This window comes from Homo sapiens, chromosome 7 (genome assembly GCF_000001405.40).
Source record: "Homo sapiens chromosome 7, GRCh38.p14 Primary Assembly".
Lineage (NCBI taxonomy): Eukaryota > Metazoa > Chordata > Mammalia > Primates > Hominidae > Homo > Homo sapiens.
The window spans coordinates 38399637-38424638 of NC_000007.14; the positions used below are offsets into that span (position 1 = coordinate 38399637).

General features: G+C 39.0%; 1 protein-coding gene across 7 annotated transcripts in view, besides 3 other annotated features; it reads right to left on the reverse strand.

The window, feature by feature from the left end:
- Positions 1 to 25002, reverse strand: part of AMPH (amphiphysin) — a 247670-nt gene that overhangs the window by 15933 nt on the left and 206735 nt on the right. For 4 of the 7 annotated variants that reach the window (XM_006715690.5, XM_017011996.3, XM_006715689.5 and 1 more), the window contains exon 16: positions 22785 to 22841. In XM_006715690.5, coding sequence (XP_006715753.1) covers positions 22785 to 22841 — 57 coding nt within the window. Of the gene's footprint in view, positions 1 to 18188; positions 18315 to 22784; positions 22842 to 25002 lie in introns of all 7 variants that reach the window. The other 3 variants (XM_011515271.4, XM_017011995.3, NM_001635.4) reach the window with 1 other exon arrangement.
- Positions 3735 to 3904: an enhancer, noted in NCBI's record as "experimental_98547 CRE fragment used in MPRA reporter constructs". NCBI's record gives its function as "activates a minimal promoter by MPRAs in K562 erythroleukemia cells, with activity observed for the non-introgressed 7:38443056 variant allele {active_cell/tissue: K562}" and the evidence as "EXISTENCE:reporter gene assay evidence [ECO:0000049][PMID:34662402]".
- Positions 6679 to 6848: an enhancer, noted in NCBI's record as "experimental_98548 CRE fragment used in MPRA reporter constructs". NCBI's record gives its function as "activates a minimal promoter by MPRAs in K562 erythroleukemia cells, with activity observed for both the introgressed and non-introgressed 7:38446000 variant alleles {active_cell/tissue: K562}" and the evidence as "EXISTENCE:reporter gene assay evidence [ECO:0000049][PMID:34662402]".
- Positions 9476 to 9645: an enhancer, noted in NCBI's record as "experimental_98550 CRE fragment used in MPRA reporter constructs". NCBI's record gives its function as "activates a minimal promoter by MPRAs in K562 erythroleukemia cells, with activity observed for both the introgressed and non-introgressed 7:38448797 variant alleles {active_cell/tissue: K562}" and the evidence as "EXISTENCE:reporter gene assay evidence [ECO:0000049][PMID:34662402]".

Genomic DNA, 25002 nt, shown 5'->3' on the forward strand with positions numbered 1-25002 from the left:
ACAGTACATGTTATACCTGCTAGGAAAAACCACAATGATAAATGACTACCATTTGCTTTTTAAAAAATGTTACTCACAAAGACCAGGGACTGAATCTGCTGAAAGTACTTCAAGCCTTTCATACCCAGTGCTATCAAATGTTTCTCTTCACTCTAAATGTTCAGAAAAACACAATTATCCTATCTTCTGCCCAACCTATACTATCTATTGGTCAAATATATTTATGGGGGAAACAGCTATTGCAAACAGAGACTAAAAATGTTCTCCTTGACCTTGGGCACATATTTACTATATCCATGAGGTCTATGAGGTGCAGAAACTAGGAGTATTGCTAAACCGCCTGTCCATCACACAGAAATCACAGCGACCAGCACAAAACCTTCTGGAGAGAGTAGGTGGTGGCTCTCTGCACCATACATACCTCATTGCTTTCTTTTTTCTTTCTTTTTCTTTTTTGAAATGAAGTCTCACTCTTGTTGCCCAGGCTGGAGTGCAATGGTGTGATCTTGGCTCACTGCAACCTCCGCCCCCCAGGTTCAAGCGATTTTCCTGCCTCAGTCTCCCGAGTAGCTGGGATTACAGGCACCTGCCACCACACCTGGCTAATTTTTTTGTATTTTGAGTGGAGACAGGGTTTCACCATGTTGGCCAGGCTGGTCTTGAATTCCTGACCTCAGGCAATCCACCTGCCTTGGCCTCCCAAAGTGCTGGGATTACAGGAATGAGCCACCGTGCCCAGCCCCTCATTGCTTTCTAATCTTCTGTCTCAATCATCTCCTTAGTGGAAAGCCACATAATTATGGCATTCATGCCAGGGTCCCCTAAACACCAGTTTAAATTTGCTTTAGCAAAATTTTCTGGAAATGTAATGACATGAATGAAATGCAACAATAGCCTAGGTTATCAATCATGTAAAATAGGGAAACACAACTGGGTGACAGAAACTAGCCAGTCCTGCTATGAGATGGTGCTATGAAAGCAGGTCAACAAGGACCAAGACCCCCAAACATGTCAGAGTAGTGATAGGCTCAAGAGAACTTGTCGTCTCTGAGGTTTATGTCATGCATTCATACATTCATTCACTCATTTATTTACTTATTTGCTTGTTTTCTTTGTGATATTAGCTCTGACCAATGCCTGAAAGTAGTGTGTCAATCACGCAACTGGTCGGGATGAGACAATTGAAGATACTTTCATTATCCTTCTGCCCAGCATGAAATTCCATACTTATTTATAAAGTAGGTTATTGTAACTGATCATAGGCATTTTTCTAATAAAGCAATTAAAAAATTTTTTTCTAACAAATTTTAAAATAATAAAAGAAATAATTTATGGTAACATTTTGATATATTTAGTTGTATTCATTTTCTAATCATACAAGGGTTTATCTTACAAAACATGAGTCATGTTTCTGAGAAAAGTTATAGTAATGGATATATAATACTTTATTGCTTATTCTATTTATCAAGTTATTTAACAGTTCTATTAGCATTAAACACTAGTTGGTTTCATTTTTAAATGTTACTCTAACACTGTGAGAAAGATCTTTGGTTTGTAACCCAACAATTATTAGGTTACACATTTCAATAATTTAAATACTAAACACTGCTCTATTTCTTTATGATGTCTCCATTAAACATGTTTTGGGGGTTTCTGCTCAACATTATAAGAAATTTTTAAAAAATTTCAAAAACATAGAATCATACAATGAACTTCCAAGTGCCCACCACCTAGGATCCTCAATAGACATGTCACCACATTTGCTTTATCACGTCTTCCCACCTATCTGCCTTGATTTGAGTCATCTTCCAGTCAATTGCAATATAGCTTCATAAAATGCTTTTTAGGAATTCTATGGAAAGTCTCTAGCACCTTATGTAATTGGTAATGTCTTTCTGCTGCTTTCCTACATGACCAACTATTGACTTGGGGTAGAATTACTGTATTGTGTTTCTTTGTGCTCAAAATTTGTATGTTGTTCTAATAGCTTCTGACCTTTAGTACTGATATGGATAAGTCAGAGAACAACCTAATTGTTGTTCATTTGTAGTGCTTTCTTATTTCCAACCTAGATGCTTGCAGAACTTTTTTTTTAAACTTTAAACTCAAATATTTAAAAGAATACATTTCAATGTAGTCTCTCCCCATTAAGTTTGCTTTTTTTGGTGATTTCTTATGATCCACATGCAGGAATTCCATCAACTAGGAAAACTTCAGTTTGAGCATGTTTTTTTCTATTATACTGGCCACTTCTGCTTCTGTAACATTCTTATAGTCTCTTCTTCAGGATGAACTTCTACCCATGAGCTGTATCTTCACTCCTTGGTCCCTAAATCTATCATCTTTGCTTGTGCTTCTCTTTATGTGTTGGGAGAACTCCTCCAGCTTGTCCTCATATCACTAAATCGATTCTCTATAGTGTTGCTTCTCGTCTTTACCACATCTCATGCAAATTTTAATTCTAATATTACATTTCCTCCCCTTAAAATCTTTTCTCATGTTATTGAGTTCCCTTTTCATCTGCCTTTCAAAGTGACTTTCTTTTCTTCTCAATATGGTTGCCTTATCATCTCACCCTTCATCTTTTGTTTCACCTATCGAGGTCATCTTGAGTTTTACTGACAACAAAAAGGAAGGCAATTTTCAAATTTTGTCTTTGTATGTCAGGTAATTTTTGTTATTGTTGCATGTTCTCTAAAGAAACTTTTAACTCTGGCATGCAATAATTATTTTTTCTTTTGTATTGCTCTATAGGTGTTTGCTAATCTAAAAATGTATTTACTTGCTTAGTTTTCTCAAATCAGGAGAAATCTCTATAGGCTTGATGTTTACAGTAGACGTGGAAACATTTTCTTTGTTCCATTTTACTCGCTATCTGGGGACTCTTAGATATCCTTTTCAGAACAGGAGCTGGAGAGGGATTTATCAAGTCTTGACATAGAATCACCTGCTCTGAATCCCCTAAATATATGTGTCAAAGGATATACTTCTGTGAGAGTAGCAGCAGGCCCCAAATGGCCTGGATGCTTCAGAAAGGAATCCCATACTCATGGCGGGGTAGATGCGAGTTGTCTCTGATCGAGGGTGGAGATGGATGACACTCTCAGATATTTTCCCTTGCCTGGCTCAGGTATTATGCGTCAAGGATCCATTTATACTTTGTTTTATGGAAAATTATCTTGGGTTTAGCTAACATTTCTAGAATATACTTTTGAAATGTTGACTTTCTTTTTCTATATGCTGGGTTTTTTCTTTAAGAGTAAAATCATTAAAATGAAAACAAAAAAAACTAGTAATAGTGAATCTGATTTTTTGAGTGATTTTTAAGTGTTTTCAGCTTTCTCGTGAATCTTCTTTTACACATCCCAATGATAAATTTCATTTTTTTAAAAAAATGCTCCAAGGTTTTTTTGTTGTTGTTGTTGTTTTTTCCAAGATGGCTGACTGGAGACGTCAGAAGCCAGTTCTCTTCAGAAAGGGGATCAAAGTTACAGACGAGTGGCCATGATCTGAATGGAAAGCTGAGAGAAGAGAGCCAGGACCTGTTGGAGTTCCCATGGAAATAAGCTGGGGTGTAGAAAAAGGAAAGCTACGAGAGTCTGGCAGAGACTGACTCTTAAGGAACTTAGAATTCGGCAGAAAGGGTAGGTGGGGGTGCTTCTCTACTCCCCTCCCTTCTGTGACAAACTGCTGACCACTAAATTGTCAGAGAGCACCTCTGCCCTTGTGACCTTCGGCAATGCTGTTGGTGGCAATCTGAGAACTTCCTGAGGACAGAGCAGCAGTGGCCAGCTCCTCCAGGTGCACTCGGACTCCCCGCAGGCCTGCACTGAAATGGCAGGTGCCATACCGGCTGTGCACCCAGTGTAGGTCACTGCCTGCCTGAAGAACCTGCCTGTCTGTGTCACCAGACCCCTGCAAACATACCTTAGAACCCACTCTGACTTGGCAATGATAGGGGACTGATAGGGAGGATGCTGGGAAGCTCTGGGTACTCCAGAGAGCTAGCTCTTGGCAGAGGCCGCCCCGAGGGAAGGGGGAATACGGCCTGCCAAAGTGCCCCTTGGAACAAAGGAAATGCAGGCATGGTGCTGATTTCTGAAAGGGGTAGCACCAGTGGCTGGGAAAGATCATGGAAAAGAGGCCATTTCCCACTTCCCCCACCCACCATTGTGGATGCAGAGCAGACTTCCCCTACTGGGGCCTTGGGCAAGTGCACTTGGAGAAAGCCTTTTCAGTGCATTTCCAGATGGCCGCACCCCCAGTGAAAGTGAGCCTATGCCATTTGGGTTTGCACAAAGGGCAGAGCCCATCTTCCCCTCCCTAAACAGAGTGGGCAGCATGGTGGCAACAGAGGACAGACAAGTCACAGAGCTGTCTGCTCTGGATTGGGGGAAGAAGCTGTGCCCCAAGGCCATTTTGCTGATAGCCACCAGAGAGGTCCTTTCACAGACCTCAGTCACACTGCAGACTGGAGTCAAAGGACAGCATCTATGTGAACTGAAGGTCACGAGTCCTGCAACAGGAAAGTGAATCACATCCCTGCCTATCTAGGATGGGAAGCTGCTGCAGCCCCCTAACCCTTATCCCCAAGAGCTCAGCACATCCTCCTCCTGTCACCCTTGTCAGGGCAGGTGCCTCCATTCATCATCCAGCTACCCAAGGGTAAGCCAGCTGTCATCCTTAAGTGCCACCTACTGGACTGGAGACTGAAGACCAAATAAAAAACCTGCTGCAGAAGGGCATAGTGCTAATGTATGAGATAAACTTCTTGAGACCTCCACACTCCCAGCCCCACAGAAGACAGTGTATCAGTTCATACACCCAATATACTGCTACAACAAGCAGTGTTTGAGAAAGCCACCACACAACAGATATCCATAACCAAGGAACCCATGTAGAGCCTTGGCCTCCTGAAAGCACCTAGAAACAAAGCCAAACAATCATATACAACAAACTCCACAGCCATATCCTCAAGGGAAAAAAGAGTAAAAATTTAAATGTCCCATCCAAAGGATGACTAATTTAAAAATAAGAAGTGACAGCTTCTTCACATGAGAAAGAATCAGCAGAAGAACTCTGGCAATACAAAAAGACAGAGTGTTTTGACACCTTCAAAGGAGTGCAGTATGTTCCCTCAAACATATTTGAGGGAATGATTCAGAAAAGTTTTCCTGATCTTGATAGAGAAGTATTTATTCAGATACAAAAAACTCAGAGAACATCTGGGAGGTACTATATGAGATTAACATCATCAAGAAATATAATCAACAGAGTATCCAAGATCAACACTAAAGAAAAAATCTTAAAGGCAGCTAGAGAGAAGTGTCAAATTTACCTGCAAAGGAAATTCCAACAGACTAACAGTCAACTTCTCAGCAGAAACCTTATAAGCCAGAAAAGATTCGGGGCCTATTTTTAGCCTTCTTAAAGAAAAAAAAAATGCCAGCCAAGAATTTTATATCTTGTCAAGCTAAGCTTCATAAACGAAGGAGAAATAAAGTCTTTCCCAGACAAACAAATGTTAAAAGAATTTGTCACCACTAGACTGGTCATACAAGAAATGCTGAAAGGAGTTCTCAACATGGAAGGGGAAGGATGATACCACCATAAAAGCACACATAAGTACAAAGTTCACACATCCTATAAAGCAATTACACAACTGAGATTATAATGCAACTAGCTGATAACACTATGATAGGAACAAAACCTCACATGTCAATATTAAACTTGAGCATAAATAGCCTTAATGTTCCACTTATAGATTAGAAAATTGGATTAAAAAAACAAAACCCAACCATCTGCTGCATACAAGACACCCATCTAACATGTAATGACACCCACAGGCTCCAAGTAAAGGGGCTGGAAATGATATATGATGCAACTGGAAACAAAAAGAGCAGGAGTTGCTATCCTTATGTCAGATAAAACAGACTTTAAGCCAATAACATTAAAAAGACAAAGACAGCATTATATCATAACAAGAGTTCAATTCAACAAGAAGATTTAACTATCCTATATATATATATGTAGATATATAGAGAGATACATATACATCCAACACCAGAGCACCCAGATTTATAAAATAAATGCTACTAGACCTGAGAAAAGAGATAGTCATCACTACAATAATAATGGAGGACTTCAATACCCCACTGATAGCATCAGACTGATCACCAAGGCAGAAAACTAACACAGAAACTCTGGACATAAATGTACTTCTAACCAAATGGACTTAATAGACATCTATAGAACATTCCACCCAACAACTGCAGAATATACAATCTTTTATCTGCACATGGAACATTCTCCAAAATCAACCATATGCTTAGCCATAAAGCAAGTCTCAATAAATTCAAAGTCCTGAAATCATACCAAGCATCTTCTCAGACCACAGTGGAATAAAATTAGAAATAAATACCAGGAGAAACTCTAAAAACCACACAAATACTTGGGAATTAAACAACTTGCTCCTGAATAACTTTTGGGTAAATAAGAAATTAAGGTAAAAATAAAAAAATAGAAACAAATGAAAATAGAGACACAACATATCAAAACTTCTGGGATACAGCAACAGCAATGCTAAGAGGAAAGTTTATACTGTTAAAATACTTACATCAAAAAGATATAAAGATCTCAAATTAACAATCTAACGTCACACCTCAAGGAACTAGAAAAATAAGAACAAACCAAACCTAAAGCTAGCAGAAGAAAAGACATAACAAAGATCAGAGCGGAACTAAATGAAATTGAAAATTAAAAAAAATCTTACGAAGGATCAACAAAACAGAAAGCTGGTTATTTAAAAGGATAAATAAAATTTATAGACTGCTATAATAATTAATATTAGGTGTCAACTTGACTGGATTGAGGGATGCCTAGATGGTTGGTGAAGTATTGTTTCTAGGTGTGTCTGTGAGGTTGGTGCCAGAGGAGACTGACATTTGAGTCAGTGGACTGGGAGAGGAAGACCCCTCCTCAATGTGAATGGGCACCATCCAATCAGCTGCCAGCATGGCTGGAACACCAAGTAGAAGAGGGGGATAAGCTTGCTTGCTCTGAGTTCTCTCTCCTCTCCTCTCTCTCTCCCTTTCCCTCTCTCTCTCTCTCTCTCTCTCTCTCTCTCTCTCTCTCTCTCTCGTGCTGGATGCCTGCTTTCTCTCCTACTGCCCAAAACTCAAGGTTTTGGGACTTAACACCAGTGGCCTCTTGGGGGTTCTCAGGCCTTTGGCATCACACAGAGCTTCATTGTCAGCTTCCCTGGTTTGAAGCTTTCAGACTTAGGCTGAGCCTTGCTACTGGTTTCTCTCTGTCCCCAGCTTGCAGATGGCCAATCGTGGGACTTTGCCTTGTAATTGCATAAGCCAATTTTCCCTAATAGACTCCTCTCTCTCTCTCTCTCTCTCTCTCTCTATATATATATATATATATATATATATATGTGTGTGTGTGTGTGTGTGTGTGTGTGTGTGTGTGTGTATAAATATATAGACATAGATAGATAGCTATAGAGATATATCTATCTATATCTATCTATCTAGCATCCAGCAATTACTCTCTCTCCCTCTCTCTATATCTATCTATAGATAGATAGATATAGAGATATATCTGTATCTAACTATCTATCTATCTAGCTAGCTAGCTTTCTATCTATATAGAGAGAGAGAGAGACAGAGAGAGAGGAATCTATTAGGGAAAATCTCTCTCTCTCTCTCTTTCTCCCTATAAAAGTGAGAACACCACATGTTCTCACTTTTGAGTAGAAACTAACCAGTGGATACACATTGACATAAAGATGGAAATAATAGGCATTGGAGCTCCAAAAGTGGAGACGGAGAGGAGGCTGAAGGTTGGAAAATTATCTATTGGGTATAAAGTTCACTATTTGGGTGATGGTTTAATAGAAGCCCAAATCTTACCATTGCACAATATAACCATATAATAAACCTGCACATGTACCCTCTGGATCTAAAATAAAATTTAAAAATTTTAAATTAAAAAAATTCAAAAAATTAAATATACACTAAGGTAAATTATACAAGCCATAAGTACAGAATAAAGACATATATATTTTAAATTTTAGCCAAATGATATTCTTCCATGGCTATGGAACACTTTATACTACAGTTAGAGAACAGCCATCTTCCTGGCATTTGCTCTTACAGAGACATTTGACTACAGGACCACTGAATTCAAGGCTTACTGATTTACCCCAAAGATGGAGAATAATAATTCTGATTCTGATTCATAAGCAGGTTTCTGCTTGACAGTTTTGATATATGCACATTCTGTAGACTGAGGGGGAAATGGATATTTATCATGAATTTACAATTTTCCAGACTGTATCTCAGGTGGTTTACATTTATTACACATTATTCTTCCAACAACCCTATTAAATATTCCCCCATTTTCAAGAAAAATTAACTAGTACTTCAAGTTTAAGTAACTCACCTAGTCAGTAAACAAGGACTGAAACAGTTTGTCTAACTCTAAATTCTGTGTTTTCTCACACCATCCCATAACCAAGAAGACCACACATCTCTCAAGTAAGGGAGTTCCACGGAAATTCTGAGACCTCCTAAATAATCTTTGGTTCCCAAGTGATGTTTGACAAAGAATGTGAGTGTATTCTTATAAACAGTTGATACATTCACTTAAATTGTTGGAATGCTACTCTTTAAAGTGAGATGCATAGATTATAATTTTTTTTCTTTATTCATGTACACATACTATCTGGGCATCAAAGCAAACATATCACAAAATGCCTCTTAATCAATAGCAAATTATACAATAAAAAGATATCAAGAAGAGTTTGGTTTGATAGAATTTCTCCACATTACTTAGGCCGGGCGCAGTGGCTCACGCTTGTAATCCCAGCACTTTGGGAGGCCGAGGTGGGTGGATCACGAGGTCAGGAGATTGAGACCATCCTGGCTAACATGGTCAAACCCTGTCTCTACTAAAGATACAACGGCGTGGTGGTGGGTGCCTGTAGTCCCAGCTACTCAGAGAGGCTGAGGCAGGGGAATGGTGTGAACTGGGAGGTGGAGCTTGCAGTGAGCCAAGATTGCGCCACTGCACTTCAGCCTGGGTGACAGAGCGAGACTCCATCACAAAAAAAAAAAAAAAAAAAGAATTTCTCTACATTACTTTTGCCTACTTTATTATTCTACATTATTTTGTCCTGTATTTGTTCTATAGATTTCATTTTTGTCCTGTGGATTTCATCGTTAAGTTATGTACAGGCTGGAAAAGTGGAAAAGATGACCAGTTGATCCATTGCACTACAGAACTACAACTGAGAACATTTAGAAGTTTCATTGATAGCTATGTTCACAAGTTAGAGATTAATCTGATCCCATGGCTGGAAGGACCATAGGGCCCAATGTTCTCATTTTAGAAGGGAGGAACTATTATAAAGTAGAAGCAGCACTAGAGACAGACTAGAGATTGGGTTTTAGTTTTGACTCTTCCACTAATTTGCTATGGAGCTGGAGGAAGTCCCTTTGGGCCTAGCTGTGTAAACTCATGGGGAAAAGTAACAAAGGAGAATAAATACAGCGGGAATTCTGGCTGCAGGGCACCATTGCCTTTTCTTGCCCATCTCTAATTCTAGATCCAACTTGAGCTCTTGACTTGTCTGAAGTTCCTTGGCATTTTAATGAAAATACAGCATTTTCTTCAGAATCCATTTTAAGGAAAAGCCCAAGAGGTAGGTAGGGTATCCAGATCCTCATTATGGCCCCAAATAGAAGATGATTGGACTATGGCACAGGCTGGTGACTGGTAAATCTCTTCACGTGAACTATATTTAAAACAATTCAGGTCATAATTTTCCTTCAGTGTGACTGTAGGGGCAAGCTCTCTCATGGTACCCCCGGTCCCTAGTAGCGTTCCTTTCAAAGCTGGCACTTGATACCGCAAATTTCATTTGACACATTTATGCGCTTTTTTTCTAATAAAGGAATTTAGTGGTGTCCCCCTCACAACCTTCAGCTCAATCATCTTTTTCAATCTGCTCTCCTGGTATTGCCTGCAGTCCTATCATGAACCCTCAGCAGCCGGGTCCCAGAGCAACTCAACTGCAGGCAGCACTGTTGCCATGGCAACGTCTGTTAGAACTAGCTCCATCACTTTCTTCAAAAATTAAAGTCTTCTACAGAGATCCCAAAGTTAATGAATTTTTGGTTAATTTGGCCTTTAAGTTTGTGTCAGTATATCCAATAATAATACAGATCAGTATTTAAAGTTTTAATTAGTGATTTATCCGCAACGCATAGGGGAGAAGTGGATAGGAAAAGGGGACTTATCTTTTAATGCAAACGTAAATACCATGTATTGTTCTCTCTCAGAGATGAGGAGATAAGCACATACTAGTTTTTGGAGCAGCCGCCGTGGACAGCTTCAATGGGGATTGCAAATAGTTTGTTAAAGAGATTGCTTAAGGAAGACACATTTATGGTACAATAAGCATTTTTCTATGGCTGGCTATGTCATCTTTGAATGATATGTAAGGTGCCTGCTGTTACACCTCAAACTGCCTTCTCCTAAGCAGGCCCAGGCTCAGGTTGGCAGAAGGCAGAGGGAAGGCTGCCAGACATACCCAGAGACTAGACTGAGAAACAGTGATCTGCAAATCACCTGAATGTCATTACACTTTGTTGGCAAAACTCCCAAACCTGACCCTGTCAAGCACGACATATATCTCACCGTGCAACCTGGGACCCAACCCAGATGGCAGTGTGGGGCCTGAAGCTTGAGGAGGGGCAGGCAGCTGAAAGTCACACTTGGAAGGCCTGACTGCCAACCTCTGAGTTCACAGCCTTTGAACTGGCCATGGCATTAGTAAGTAAAAGCCACTCCACAATGATATGTCATCCCGATGGCCTAGCAAACAGAGGCTGGAAAAAAGCCATAAACACAGGGTGCTCTTGTTACTACAAAGAATTGTTACTACAAGGAATTTTTAAAGTAATACATTTTGATTTTGGGGGAGCAGGAAGAGGTTATCATGTACAACCCTCTTAAAGGAAGAATGAGAAAACTGGCACAGAGGGTAAAATGATTTCCCTAAGGCCACTTCACTGGTTGACCATGCAGTTAGTTCCCCATATTCCTAATTCAAGGTCTTTCAAATACATCCCCTTTGAAATTTGCTTTGCCGCCAAAGTGGAGGATTAGGACACACATTATCTCTGAGAAGCTCAAGGTTGAGGCTGCACAGAGTTTCTGTTTCATTTCAACTCCTCAGCCACAAACCAGGAACATCCATCAAGTCTAAGCATTCGTTGTGGGAAGTCTTTGTGTCCACTTGGACCCTAAGTTGTGACCCTAACGGCTTTAGTTAGATGTGATATGAGACGTGTTGATAAATATATTTTTATAAAACCTCCTCTTTTTAAAAGCATCTGGAGTAGTCAGGAGATAGACAGCTATGGCTTAAAATACCAGGATTTGAATCACATGTCACTACTTTCTAGATGTGTGATCTTGGTTAATCAATTAATCTCTTTGTGTCCGTTTTCTTAATCTGTAAAACGAGGGACCTGATGCCTAAATAATCCTATTTCACGGGACTGCTGTGAGAGAATGCATGACAATGCTACTGCTCCCTAGTATCTCTTATCACAGTATGGCCTTCTTTACTATCACCTTACTCTCTTTGATCATACTCCTTCATTTCAGGACACACACAGTAGTCCTCAAAGGCAGTATCTGAACTGCTTGAGCACCGATGCTGGAACACAAGGCAACTTGCTGGGGAAAAGGAAGGGATCTCTAATCTCAAATCAAGCACTTTTTCCTGATCATGTTTAAGGTCCAGCTCATGTCTGTGGAGGGCTAGCAGGAGGGATTCATGCAAGGGCCTTTCTATCGTGCAGGTGAGGGATGGACAGAACAGGAACAGGCAAGAAGTGAATGAGAACTCAGCACACATGGTCTAGGGGGTTGGTTCCATATTATCCATGGACTAAACAAATCCCAACACTGCCACCTGTAGGGGAAGAGGAGTGAGCCAGTAAGTAGAACACATCTGTAAGGCTCTTGTAGGTCTAAATTCTGATTTCTGGGGTGGGACTGGGCTTCATATTGGGGTGGGGCTTTATTATCTCAACAGAGTTGTCTTTTTAACATCTGAATGGGTCTGGTCTTACATAGGCTACCCAATTGTGTTGATGACCAGGAATGGTTTCAATGAGGGATTATGAATTGGGCCCAATACATATTCAGAAGACAGAATAAGAGTTTCTTATCCTGAAGCTAATGATAACTAGTCATATTAAATATATCAAGCTAAAGCTCTAGATTTAGTATGTGACAAAAAGTATACACCAAGGCAGACACAAAACCATCTTATAATCATGTGTTGTATGATTCCATTTATATCAGCTCTCTAGAATAGATAAATCCATAGCACATTGGCAGGTACCAAGGGCCTGGGGAGGGGAAGATGGGAGTCACTGCTTAATGGCTATGGGGCTGTGATTTGAGGTGATGAAAATGTTTTGGAACGAGATAGAGGTGATGACTGTACAACACTGTGAATGTACTAAGTGCCAGTTAATTGTTACTTGAAAATGGTTAATTTTATTTTATGTGAATTTCACCTCAGAAGAAAAGTACATGCCAAAAGTAATACTTAAAAGTCACTGGGCATCTATCACCTAAAAATGGCTCCTCAATAGTGGAAGAACAACCTGAATCTTGAGTTCATGTTCACATAGATTTATAACAACACTCTGAATAAACAATGACATTTATTAAAAAGTCTCACTTGGCCCTGTTTGAGATGGGGCTTTGGAAATCACACTCCAGAAGGCAGGGAAGATGCCGCTACTAGCAGTTGGTAGGTGGTTAATGAATACTTAATATCAGCCACATCTCAAAACAGCAGTGGCCCCATATTTCAGAGATGGCCACCTACAAACCCAGATCAACCTGCTCTGTGAGGTTGGGGGAACTGATCACTGTGTTGTTACTTTCACTTTATTCTTGGCTAATTTTATCTCTTCCCTATGACTTCCTGCAAAGACAGAGAGAAAGATCTAGGTTCAGTTACTTGTATCAGATTTGGATGTATCATGTTTGTAGATCATCTGCCCTTCTTTTTCCTTCTACAACCACATGGAAGGAGGACGCAGCTGAGAGGGCACTGCCAGTTCTCTGAATACTCACATCTCCTGGGCAATGAAGATAGAAAAATTCCCTATTCATTCACTGAGTATGAAGGTGCCTGGAAAAGGGGAAGTCTTCTTAGAAAGGACAAAGAATTTTGATGGGACACAGCTTGTTTGGGAACCACATGGAAATTTGTGTTGATGGAGATCTAACAGGGACTGGGTCCATTGCCATTTCTGACATGAGGCAACACTGGAAGAGGGGGCTGTTATCTTTGCCTCTGCTGCTTTCTCCTCCCCAGAGTACATATTTCACATGCTTCTGCTTATTTGCTTCTCACCAACTTTTCATGACGATGATAACAATAATGATATCACCAAACTGTCATTAACTAATAACCTCTGCACGACAGATGTTGAAACTGACAACATGTTTTATTTCTAAGCCCTCATGGGAAACTTTTAAGGTGATTATTATTAACTCCATTTTATATTTGAGGTAAGTGGGGCTTAGGTGTCACAGAGCTGTGGGGCAGAATGAAAAAACTGACATTGCTTTTGATCATAATAACTGGCTTGCTTTTCCTAAATATAAAAAAAGCCAAAGTATCTGAATGAAAAAAAAAAGAGAAGGAAAATGACCATATACATATTTGTACTTTAAGAAATCAAACTGCAGCCCCTTTAAGGACCCCAAGACTGCACTGTCAACTAACTAACAAATCAATGACTTAGAATTTGATGGGCATGGATTATGCACTCTGCTGTGTGCTTGGTATCATGAACAAGAGAGAAACAGACACTTATTTAGTTTGAGGGGCATTGAAAATGTAACTATTTGCTAATGGGAATACAATCAAACTCAGAAAATAACCAATTCTGTGATTTTTTTTTCTAAGAAAGGTAAACAGGAACATCCATCTCCAAGGTTCTCATAAAAAAAAGAAAAATCCATATGTATGTTTCTTGACATCTTAAAGCATGCTTCAGTGTAAGCCCTTGGAGTTGGAAGATCATTCTATGTTAATAAGGGCAGACAATAATTCAAGCTTCCTGGCTTCCTCTGATCTTCAATGTCTTCTTCTGACATACTGAGAGATCACATCTAGAGGCACAGGGGAAACGCTAGCTCTCATGTTTACTCTGCAAAAGGATAAAACCCAAATGCTGTTTCCCGTGAACATGAGTGTCACTGAAGGACACCTCAACCTCTGTGTAACGTGCATCTCAACCACCAGTCTGTGGAAACTAGGAGGCAGGAGCCATATCTATTTACCACATCTCTGTATTCTCCAGATCCAGAACAGAGCCTGACACCTACAGAGGACTCAAATATATCTGTCAACTGAGTAAAAGAGGAAGTGAGCACATGCATTCTGTTCAGACAGAAATATTCTAGCAAGATGAAGTTGATAGACTATAGTCTGGCAATTCTGATATGTATATATTTGTTGGTTTAAATTGGTCTTGACAAGTTTAGTGGTAAAATTTTTAAAAAACAAAACACAGCAAAAACCAAAGTTGTCCCCAGAATAATGGGTCAATAATGTTTCATAATCCAGGATTCCCCAACAATTCTAAGAACGTCTTTACCACAGTCTTCCTTACATTTATATGTTCTAAAAACTATGCTAACTCTAAATTTAATTACACGGCATTATTTTGAAAAAATAATAGGCAAAAAAGAACACTGGTATAATTCACATCATTTAAGCAAAATACAGGCACTGACAGAAATTTAGAGAAAATTAGAAGGGGCCTCTTTAGAAAAAAATGGAATAAATGTGGGTAAAAATCTAACCATAATTAATTGTAACCAAATAATACATTATGAATTGGCTCTGTGCTCATCTTTACCTGCTTTACAACCTGATTCTCTAACACATATTGAAACGAATATTGAAATCATATTGAATTTTTTTTTTTTTGAGACAGAGTCTCACTCTGTCGCCCTGGTTGGAGTGCAATGGTTAAGATCTCAGCTCACTGCACCTCTGCCTTCTGGGTTCAAGTGATTCTCCTGCCTCAGCCTCCCAAGTAGCTGGGATTACAGGCACCTGCCATCATGCCAGGCTAATTTTTGTATTTTTGTAGAGATGGGGTTTCATCATGTTGGCCAGGCTGGTCTTGAACTCCTGACCTCATGTGATTTGCCTGCCTTGCCCTCCCAAAGTGCTGGGATTACAGGCATGAGCCACCACACCTGGCCCCAAATCATTTTTTTTCTAACAAATATTTTCATTATTTACATAACATAGAAACATCTGGAAAAGTAAAGACAAGAGTGTTGTTTTTTTAAATGCATCCTGTAGACATACCAGTAAAATTTGATGTTGTTGGGAAAAACTGAAGACAATACTACCTATATGAGAAATAAAACAACAAACAAAAATGTAATAATTAAACTTTTCTTAAAAGCCCTAGGTTTCTTTTGGAAACACCGTTAAAATTTCCCATGTTTGAAATTATACGTGCCTCTTTACAAAAACAAAACAAAAACCAAACAAACAAAAAAAACCAGAACAATCACAAACTTCATCTCAGGTGAAATGCATTCTGTCAAAACTTGAACTAATAATTATGGTGACATTTCAGTAGTGAAAGGGATTACCTCAAAAGGTCATGTCAACTCAACGCTGACTGACGACAACCACAGCCAGCCAATTAATTAATGCTAGGGACACAATGTGGATTTTTGTTTTTACAACTAAATACCACGTATCTAGCAACCTAATAGACCTTTCTCCAGAGAAATATAACCCTAATATTATGTTAGATTATTATGACCGGAAGGAAGAAGCTATAAATCTACTTTAGGAAACAAAAATACATTTTATCTGATTCTATTTTCCTAAGGAGAAGGGAGAACGAGGGGAAAAATTGATTTCATCCAAGTATGTCCATGTTAAAAACATGGAAGGCAGCCACTACTGATGACCATTAGGCAAACTAAATTGCTGTAAACTGTCTCCTCTTAGTTAACATTGTTACTATTATTTTTCAGTCCATATGGAGAAATGAACTTGAATTTTTTCTCTGTGGAAAGCGTGGATCACACTGTGAGCTCTGCACCTATGATTCTTGCATCACCTATGGATCTCAGGAAGTGCCTGAATCCTTCATTAGACTGTAAATTGCCTTATATTTTACAAGGAATCAAAATTTTTGATTCTCTACAGTTCACCTGTGAGCTTCAGGAGAAAAGGTATTTTCAGAATGAAGCATTCTTCCAAACAGCTGCTTACCCAACATGAGGGAAGCTGGTTTGAGTGATGGTTGGTGCCTGTGCCACAGGGTGTTGAATATTTTTCATATTACCCTTAGTTTAAACAATGATCAAACATATGAATATATATATATATATATATATATTAGCTATTACATAGTAGGTACTTAATAATTGGTGGCCACTAATATTGTCCACTGGAAAACCATAAACCTGGATTCTGAAAAAAACAAAAGCCTACTTAGATCGGTTTGTTGAAATGAGGATGGGTGTGGGAGGTATATGAACATGACACTCTTAGAAGGGATCATAGAGAATCAACATTCAGCCGTATTGAACACAGTAGCTTGTCTATTCCACATTTCCAATCTATTGCACAACATCCAATGCTGCCCCTGCTCATGGGCATGATGGCATTAAGCCTTACACTGAATAGTCTTGGGCATAAAATCAATGAACTAGTTTTAAAACATTGGTGAAGATGAAGTTGGTGCTGCTGTTCAAAATAGGGATTTGATGAGAGCTTTTTCAGAATCAAAACAATTTCCCTCAAAACCTAAATCAATATCTTTTTAACTCCCTGGCATCATCCACATTCCTTTAAAAATAAATTATCTTCTTAATTATAATAGTAACGAAAAATTAAACTCCATTTTTCCCTTCCTTTGTTATTTAAATAATCTTAAAGCTAAGGTGAGTAGACAGATCACCATTGGACACCAAGTGAAAAAGCACTGTCTGCATGGACTTGCTGAAATCTCCAGTGAATCTGGGAGTGGCCCTGGACACAGCACTCCCTGGTCTAAAGTCCCTGCAAGCAATGCCTCTAGGAGAGATTCAGTCCAGCTTTAAGTATTTTCCATTACTATCTTGCACTATTATTTATTTTTCTACTTGATTAATGAACTGTTGATGTGACAGATGACCTACCATTTTCCCTGTAAAATGACTTAAGGCACCAACGACATGAAGTAAGACTCATTTCTCTAGGTATCTAATCTAGGGAATGTTATTTTTGGTAATAGAGAAATTGTTTTTCCTATTTGTACAGTCTATGAAGGGTAAATGGTACCCTGATTGAAATTGTTGGAAGACATTTTTCTGCATTTCATAAATAAATGACTTTTCACTCGCCATGGGTATTTGGTACTCTACACTTTCATGGGTATTACAATGTCCAATTCTACTTGGTACATATCAGAGCTCAGCCCAGTTTGCAATGTGGTGTTCTTTATGGCTGCATGGATTAGGGTAAGAGCAGGTTTCCAGGCAGACAAATGGATCCCCATCCCAGCACAAAAACAAAACATCCTCAAGGTCCGTATTATTATGAGTCATCAGCAGACTTAATTGTGAGCAAATGGTGGTGCATATAGGAATCCTTACAGATTCATGGAGTTGTGATATGGGATTTCAACACCTCATTGGACCTTAACCAACCTATGAAACTAATATTGTAAGTAATCAATATGTACACACAATGAACAAAGTTATTATTCTGTTTATCACATGCAAGTTCCCTAATAAAGGCACGTCTCCAGCTGTCACAGGTAGAACAAAGCATTAACAGGTCTGATTACTCGCAAGTTCTACAACCCTTCTACTGTGCTATACCTGTGGCTATGTACAGTTTTCTTTAGATCATAAGATCAGTTATCTGGATATCTTCCTTAATAAAAAATGAAAGAGAACAGGCATGAAGGCTATTTGAACCTGGGAGCTACGACAGATATGGAGCATGTTTGGCCCAAGTGAGGCAAAGATGAGAGCGATGCATATGGTCATGAGATGAGCATGGCTGTGGCAGCGAGGCAGATGGAGGGTGAGAGGGAGGTGGTGCTCACCACTGCCTCCTCCACTGGCTCCTCAGCCCGAGTGTCCATTCCAAGGTCCAGACCAACGGCAGGTGTGACAGCAGCCAGAGGCTCCTCTGCTTTTGGCTCTGTGGGTGGAGCCTGTTCAGATTCAGCCTTGGAGTGTTTGTTTTGAGGGTTAGAGGAAAAAGATTCAACAGGTAAATAGATAACATTACAGAATACTGGACAATTAAGATTTTCTTTGTCATCCCATAGGCAACTAGCTTCATGAAATCCGTGCTGGAGAAAAGCCCCCATTTGCCATCATAGGCTTTTAGAGAATGGAAAAGACTAGAAATAAAATCTTATTAAGCTTCTGCTTTACCATCATCAAGACTGTCATTTCCCTTGAAGTCAGGCAAGACTTACCATTTTACCTACCCATTTTACTTACTTGCAACATTTTGACTACCCACTTACCTATGATAGCTATAAGAGGTTCTGCTATTTTCCAGAGAGAGAGAGACAGAGACAGAGAGAGAGAGAGAGACAGAGATAGAGACAGAGACGGAGGCAGAGACAGAGAGAAAGGATTCTAGGAGGACCCACAATTACTTGCCAGTGGGAAGGAGTAAGGAAGAAATCGCAGGGCACACAGTTCCAGGGCCTTTCAGTTTTATGAATATGCATTGCACCAAAAAAATCAAAGAGTCATTCTAATAGTCAGACTAAAATGCATTCATTTGACCCAACAGGTCACCATGAAGCTAGTGTTCCACTTCCAAGGCTGGGAAGAACAGAATCAGCTACCTGGCTATTTGCTACTACAATCATAGATACTTTACTGCCTTGTTGTAAATTCCTGTTCAGTCCCTTTTTCCCTTTCTCCCTCCAACAAAATCCTTAGTAATGCATTTATTTCATATAATAGTTGTTTAAAGAACCACAGGGCAGTATTCTCCATGGTTTCAATTATACCCCCTGAATTGTGTAGGCAGGGTGAGGTCTTTTTGTCCCAACAAGACATATAAACATCATCCTGATTTCAATTACATATATGCTGAATCAGGCTTCTGGCATCTCTTAGATCAAGGCCTTTTTAGTTTTAAAATTAGCAATATAAACTAACAGCAAGCCATTAAAAGCACCACAGCCAATGCATGTTACTACAAATACTGAAAATATTCCTTCTTTTTCCATTCTTATTAATATAAATAAACATATTTATCTAGTATGATTCTTTCACTAAATGAATGGCCATTAGAGGGCTCATAAGATCCTTTTCTATCACCAGAACACTTAAACTAAAAAAAGTTTAAAAGTGATTTCCCAGTGGAGTAAGAAGTCTCTAATTAATGCTGTGATTGGAGAAATCAGTAACTTCTATCCAACTCACCATAAGCAATCAAAACACACCTCTATTTGTCCTGTACATTTATCTGAGTCAGTGCACATGGCAAGTTCCACAGAGAAGTGCTGGAAAAGTTATGCTGAGATAATACAAAATGAATATGAATAGCCTAGTGTTGGACAAATACACAAAGTATTTGTCTTATGTTTCCCACCAAATCATTCCATTTTTATGCATGCCAGGATCACACGACTATTCTTTTCAAAAGGACATAATAAATTCAAGGGACTGGTAGACAAGTGTGCAGACATTTGATTTTTATGGGCTTTTTTCAGCTTTAAGAGGTGGCCTGACATAATTTTTAAGGAAGAATGAGATAAAATTCACACTAATATGCTCTCAAGAGTCCTTTATGGAAAAATACTTCACTTTTATTGTTTGAAAAGAATTATCTTCATAGTGGAACAAGTTTTCATAACAGCAAATAGATACTGTAAGTGCTCAGGGAATGATCTTACCATTTGGGAAGTCAAGGTGATTTGCTATGACAGCCTGGTATCAAATGACCTTCACAATGAAGGATAAAAGGGTAATTTGAGAAAACACCAAGAAATCCACGAGCAGATGCTGTTCACTGCAAACTGAGTCTACTCTATGGAAGAAGTAAGATCGAAGCCAGATGAGAAGCCAAGAGATGTTTTAAAACATGAGCCAAAGAAATATAACATCATATATTTTATAAAATGCAAAGATATCTTAAAATGCAAAAAATATTTGCACCAGAGTCTGGGTTTCTTAGAAGTCTGAAGAAATTCTGACATTTTTTATAAGGCAAGAATAAATAGCTAGGGTGATTTTATAAATGAGCCCAATTGCATTTGCTTGTTGAAATTTGACAGTGCAGCTGTGGTCTAGTATAAAGAGAACATAGGATTGCTTATGTTCCCCACAAGTCACAAGATGTTTCACATACGACAATAACACATGAAATTTTACAATATGGCATTACAACTTAACCTAAATTCCAGGAGGATAGTATAGCTCACTAAATGATGAGTAACAATGAAGCATGGTTATATATAAAATCAGCTACCCAAATTTAGAAATAGAGGCCACCTTTCTATTCCAAGATAATGTAAAATTCTAAGTATTTTGTCAAGAAAGAGGGAAAAGCAAAGATAAAATGTGAGCAACCGCTTGTGGAGAGATTTAATATAGTCCTGTGGGAATTGTGCCCTACCTTCACTGTTTTTCCTACAAGATGCCTCCCTTGAAAGACATTGCAAATGGGTTGATCCCATGCCACACCTATTTTGGAGTGCTGAGAATGATTTCCTATTGTTTGCTTCAGTAGCAGTCATTACACACTCAGAGAAGAGGTACATCCTTTACAGATATTGGTGGCAGCAGATGCCACAATGGTTTAACTCTGAGGACCATAAACCAATTATTCCTTTAGAATAAAATGAGGAGTGTAGCCTTGCAGCACCTTTTCTGGTATCCTTTGTGATAAGATGAAAGGCGGGTCAATACAGAGGAAGAGGAGATGGGTTGGGACAGCAGGGGCAGAAGTCTAGTCACATCCAATGTGGCCTTGTATCCAGTTTCTCCAATCCTGAGAGAACTAATTTAGTGAGAACTCCAAAGGGCTTTAGAGGCAACCCTGAGCCCCGAGCAAGAGTTACTGATTCAAAAGGGTTTAAACCTGTACTCAAAAGATGTCCTGCGGGGCTGTATGATGCAGGCTGGGAGATGTACAGCTGATTACCAACTTCACCCCCTACCTCGCTCAGAATAGTCAATGAGCCAAACACTGGGGCGTTTTCTTGCTCCTGGGAAGATCGTGTACAATCACGACTCACTGGGAGACATCAGTTCACTGTGATTTCCTAGATCAGAGGGCAGGACCAAGGTTAGCAGCATTTGCAATGCTGAACATGACAAAGCTAAGTTCCCCATGGAAAGAAGGGGCAAGATGTCTGCTTCAGAGAATACATACAAACAGAAGAGAAAGACAAGCATGGAAGCTCCTAGGACCAGCCATGGATGACAGGGAAAGGTTCACTGAAACTTAAAAACCACTGAATTCTAGACCTGAATCTTTTGCATCCGTGTAGTAGGTGTGAGTTTAATTATAACCAATTGCCTTTCCTTTTATACTGGTATTTCTCCATTTCTCATAAACCATTCATGATTGATAATTAAAAATTCCGTTCTCCATCTTCATCACTCAGCTGGAGAATCACCAATGAACATGAAGAATGAGCTTCACTGGCTCCATTACTAACACAAGTATAATTTGTATTTGAAACATTTAAATATTTATTTGCAGGCCAGAGAGACTCTGCCTTTCAGCTGGTTGCCCAAAAGGCAAAAGTGTGACAATCTATTGACAAGGTATGAGAGACACACCTGTCTTTGCAAATATATCAAACCAGCCTTGAAGACAAACTTTCCAGAAGAGAATTCCTTACTTAAAATAGTTTAAAAGAAATCATTCTATTTAATCTCAATTCCAAGCATCCAATATGAAAGGCAGGAGCTAGGATAAGTATGCACTATTCCCATGAGAAAACCATAGTGCTACAAATAACCCTCATGAACTAGTCCTCAAAGAGCCCAAATCCTCTGAAGTGTAGCAATGACATGCTCAAAAGTGATATCTCTTAAGGTCTCTTCATTCATCTTTACTAGTAAGCTTTAAGCTGTTGCTAAAAATGTTTCCCATCATAACTGCAACACTGATCTTTTAAGAATCTTCTCTAACGCCAGGAGTAACTATTTCTATTTCTTACTCATCCCCTAACTAAGCTTTTCTCTCTCTTCTCATTTGGTATCAAATTAGGAATCACAACTCTACTATGCATTACTGCTTTCTACCTCTCACAAAGTGGAGGGATGAGATGATAAATGGGGTAGTTTCACGTTCAAGAAACAAACAAGGATTTATTTTGAAGCATGAATTCTTGAGACAATTTCACTTTAAATACTGGAACTTAAGTTATATTCACATGGAAATATACATGTCTTTAATGGATTCACTGTGTTCTGCTGGGGTTCATCATTAGGAGACTAGTTTTTGCTGGAATCACTGTGCCTGTGTGAATAGAAATAACCAAATGCAAAGTCACACTGAGGTTTTACAGACACATTCTCTCCTGTTTTCTAGAAAAGTACAGGATCCAGAAACCACATTCTGGATATTCAAACTCTAGACAGCCTAGAATGATCAGCTTTAGAACATTCAGTGATAACTAACAACTTCCTGAGAGCACAAACCCAAATCAACTTACCAAGTTGCAGATCATACTCTGGTCTGTCTGCATTGTGAATAATGAAGTATCCTGGGGCTGAAAATCAAGGATAAAAATAGAAGATGTTTTTTAAAGATATTTAAATCAGCTACCATCAATTGTGTCTGCCTACGTATCTATCTATCTATCTATCTATCTATCTATCTATCTATCTATCTATCCATCTATCTATCGACACTCTATCTATCTAATTTTTTTTTGAGAAAGGGTCTCCTCTGTTCCCCAGGCTGGAGTATAGTGGTATGATCATGCTCACCGCATTCTCCACCTCCCTGGGCTCAGGCGATCTACCTCAGCCTCCTGAGTAGCTAGAAGTACAGGCGCACATCACCACGCCTGGCTAATTTTTGCATTTTTTTGTATAGACAGCGTTTCATCATGTTGCCCAAGCTGGTCTCGAATTTCTGGGCTCAAGCAAACTGCCGAGCTTGGCCTCCCAGAGTGCTAGGATTACAGGTGGGAGCCACCATGCCTGGCCTCAATAAATATTATTTGAAACATGTTCAAGTCCCCTTTTATTTTAAATCATTAAGTCAAAACATGCAAAAGTAAGTTTTAATAATAGTTATTCTAAATATAAGTCTCTGCTAGCAGAATACTATGAGAGTCATTAAACAGAGGCCACTGGCTTCAGGGGCATCTTTAGTCCACAGCTTCTCTTCTGGCCGTTGATATCAAATCAGAAGTTAGTGGTTGAAGCTCCAAAATTTAAACTTTTTAAATGTTGTGAATTCAATCTCACTATATTACTTAAGTGTTCCTTCTATGGGTTATGTATGAACCATATGTTAACATTTCATAAAATATGTTCATTGACCTAAACAAATCAAGCTGGAGGAAATCTAAAGGAAAAGTAATCTCTAAAGGAAACTTCATCTCTCATTACATTGGTAGCCAGGCTTGCACCCTCCAAACAGGAGACCCAGGTGTCTTTCCTGGGAAATCTGCCAGCTCAAGGAAAAAAACAAAATGCCTGAAGAAATTGACATCAGGGGATGCCTAACGGAAAAGATGAGCCAGTGCCTTTTGGTTGAAGATGGTGTTTTGAACACATGCAGTTGCCTCTGTTACCTCCTGAATCCAAACTAAACAACAATAAAGGGATTTTTAAGGCATCAACCTATAAGAATGAAAAGAATGAGAAGAAAGATAGAAACAACAAAATGTTGAAATTGGAAAGCAGATGAAAGAGTAGTAACTTGGTAGATCAAAGAAATCTGTATCCTAAGGTGATGCTAGAAATGCTGCAAATCAGTCCGATTTGTTCCTTAGAACTCCCAGTGGTGAAAAATTAGAAGCATAAAGAGCCACAGGAAACAGGAGTGAGGGTGGTGGTAACAACAGAAGAATAGTAAAAGTCTATTACAAAGTCATCAGACCTCAAGATATTCTTACCTACTAAGAACACCAAGCAACATCCTTGCCTACCCTAGCAGAAGACTTGAGATTAATTATATAGAGGCTGAAACAGGGTCCCTGGACTGGGGAACACACAGGCACATCAGGAAGGTAGAAGCACTGAGTACTTACATAATAAATATTGAGACCATGCACCCCTCTCTCGCCACTCTGCTCCCATTTTTTCCCCAATCACCTCCATTACACTAGTAGTCAGACTTGAACTTCACAGACAGGAGACAAAATAAATCTTCCCTGGGAAATCTGGCCAGCCCAAAGGAAAAAAAATGCCTAAAGAATCTGACTTCAGTGGCTCCCCAACAGAAAAGATAAGCCAGAAAGTCCTGCAACAATGCCCACAGTCAATGAACTCTATCTACCTGTACAAGGTTCCAGTCAGCTTTTCAGCATCCCACTTTTAAATATGAATATTCAGTCAAGATCACCAAACATTTGAGAAGTCTCAAATATAAAAGAGAGATGGAATAGAAAGGGTTAAGCAAGAGGAAGAAACAAAGATTTTGCAAAAATAATTCAAAATGATTATTAATACCTTCAGAGATATAATGGAAGAGAATCATTCATGACACAAGAAGAAGATGCTATTGGAAAATAAATATGCAGTAAACAAAAAGAGTTATTGGAAATTGAAAAAATTATAGGGTGAAAAACCTGTTAGAATAGTTGGCAGAGAAAGTAGAGAAAGACAACAGAGAAAAGGAAACAGCAAAGAAACAATAATAGAATACTAGTCAGGAAGTTAAAATATGAAAAAGAGAAGTGTTATGGAATGAGAGAA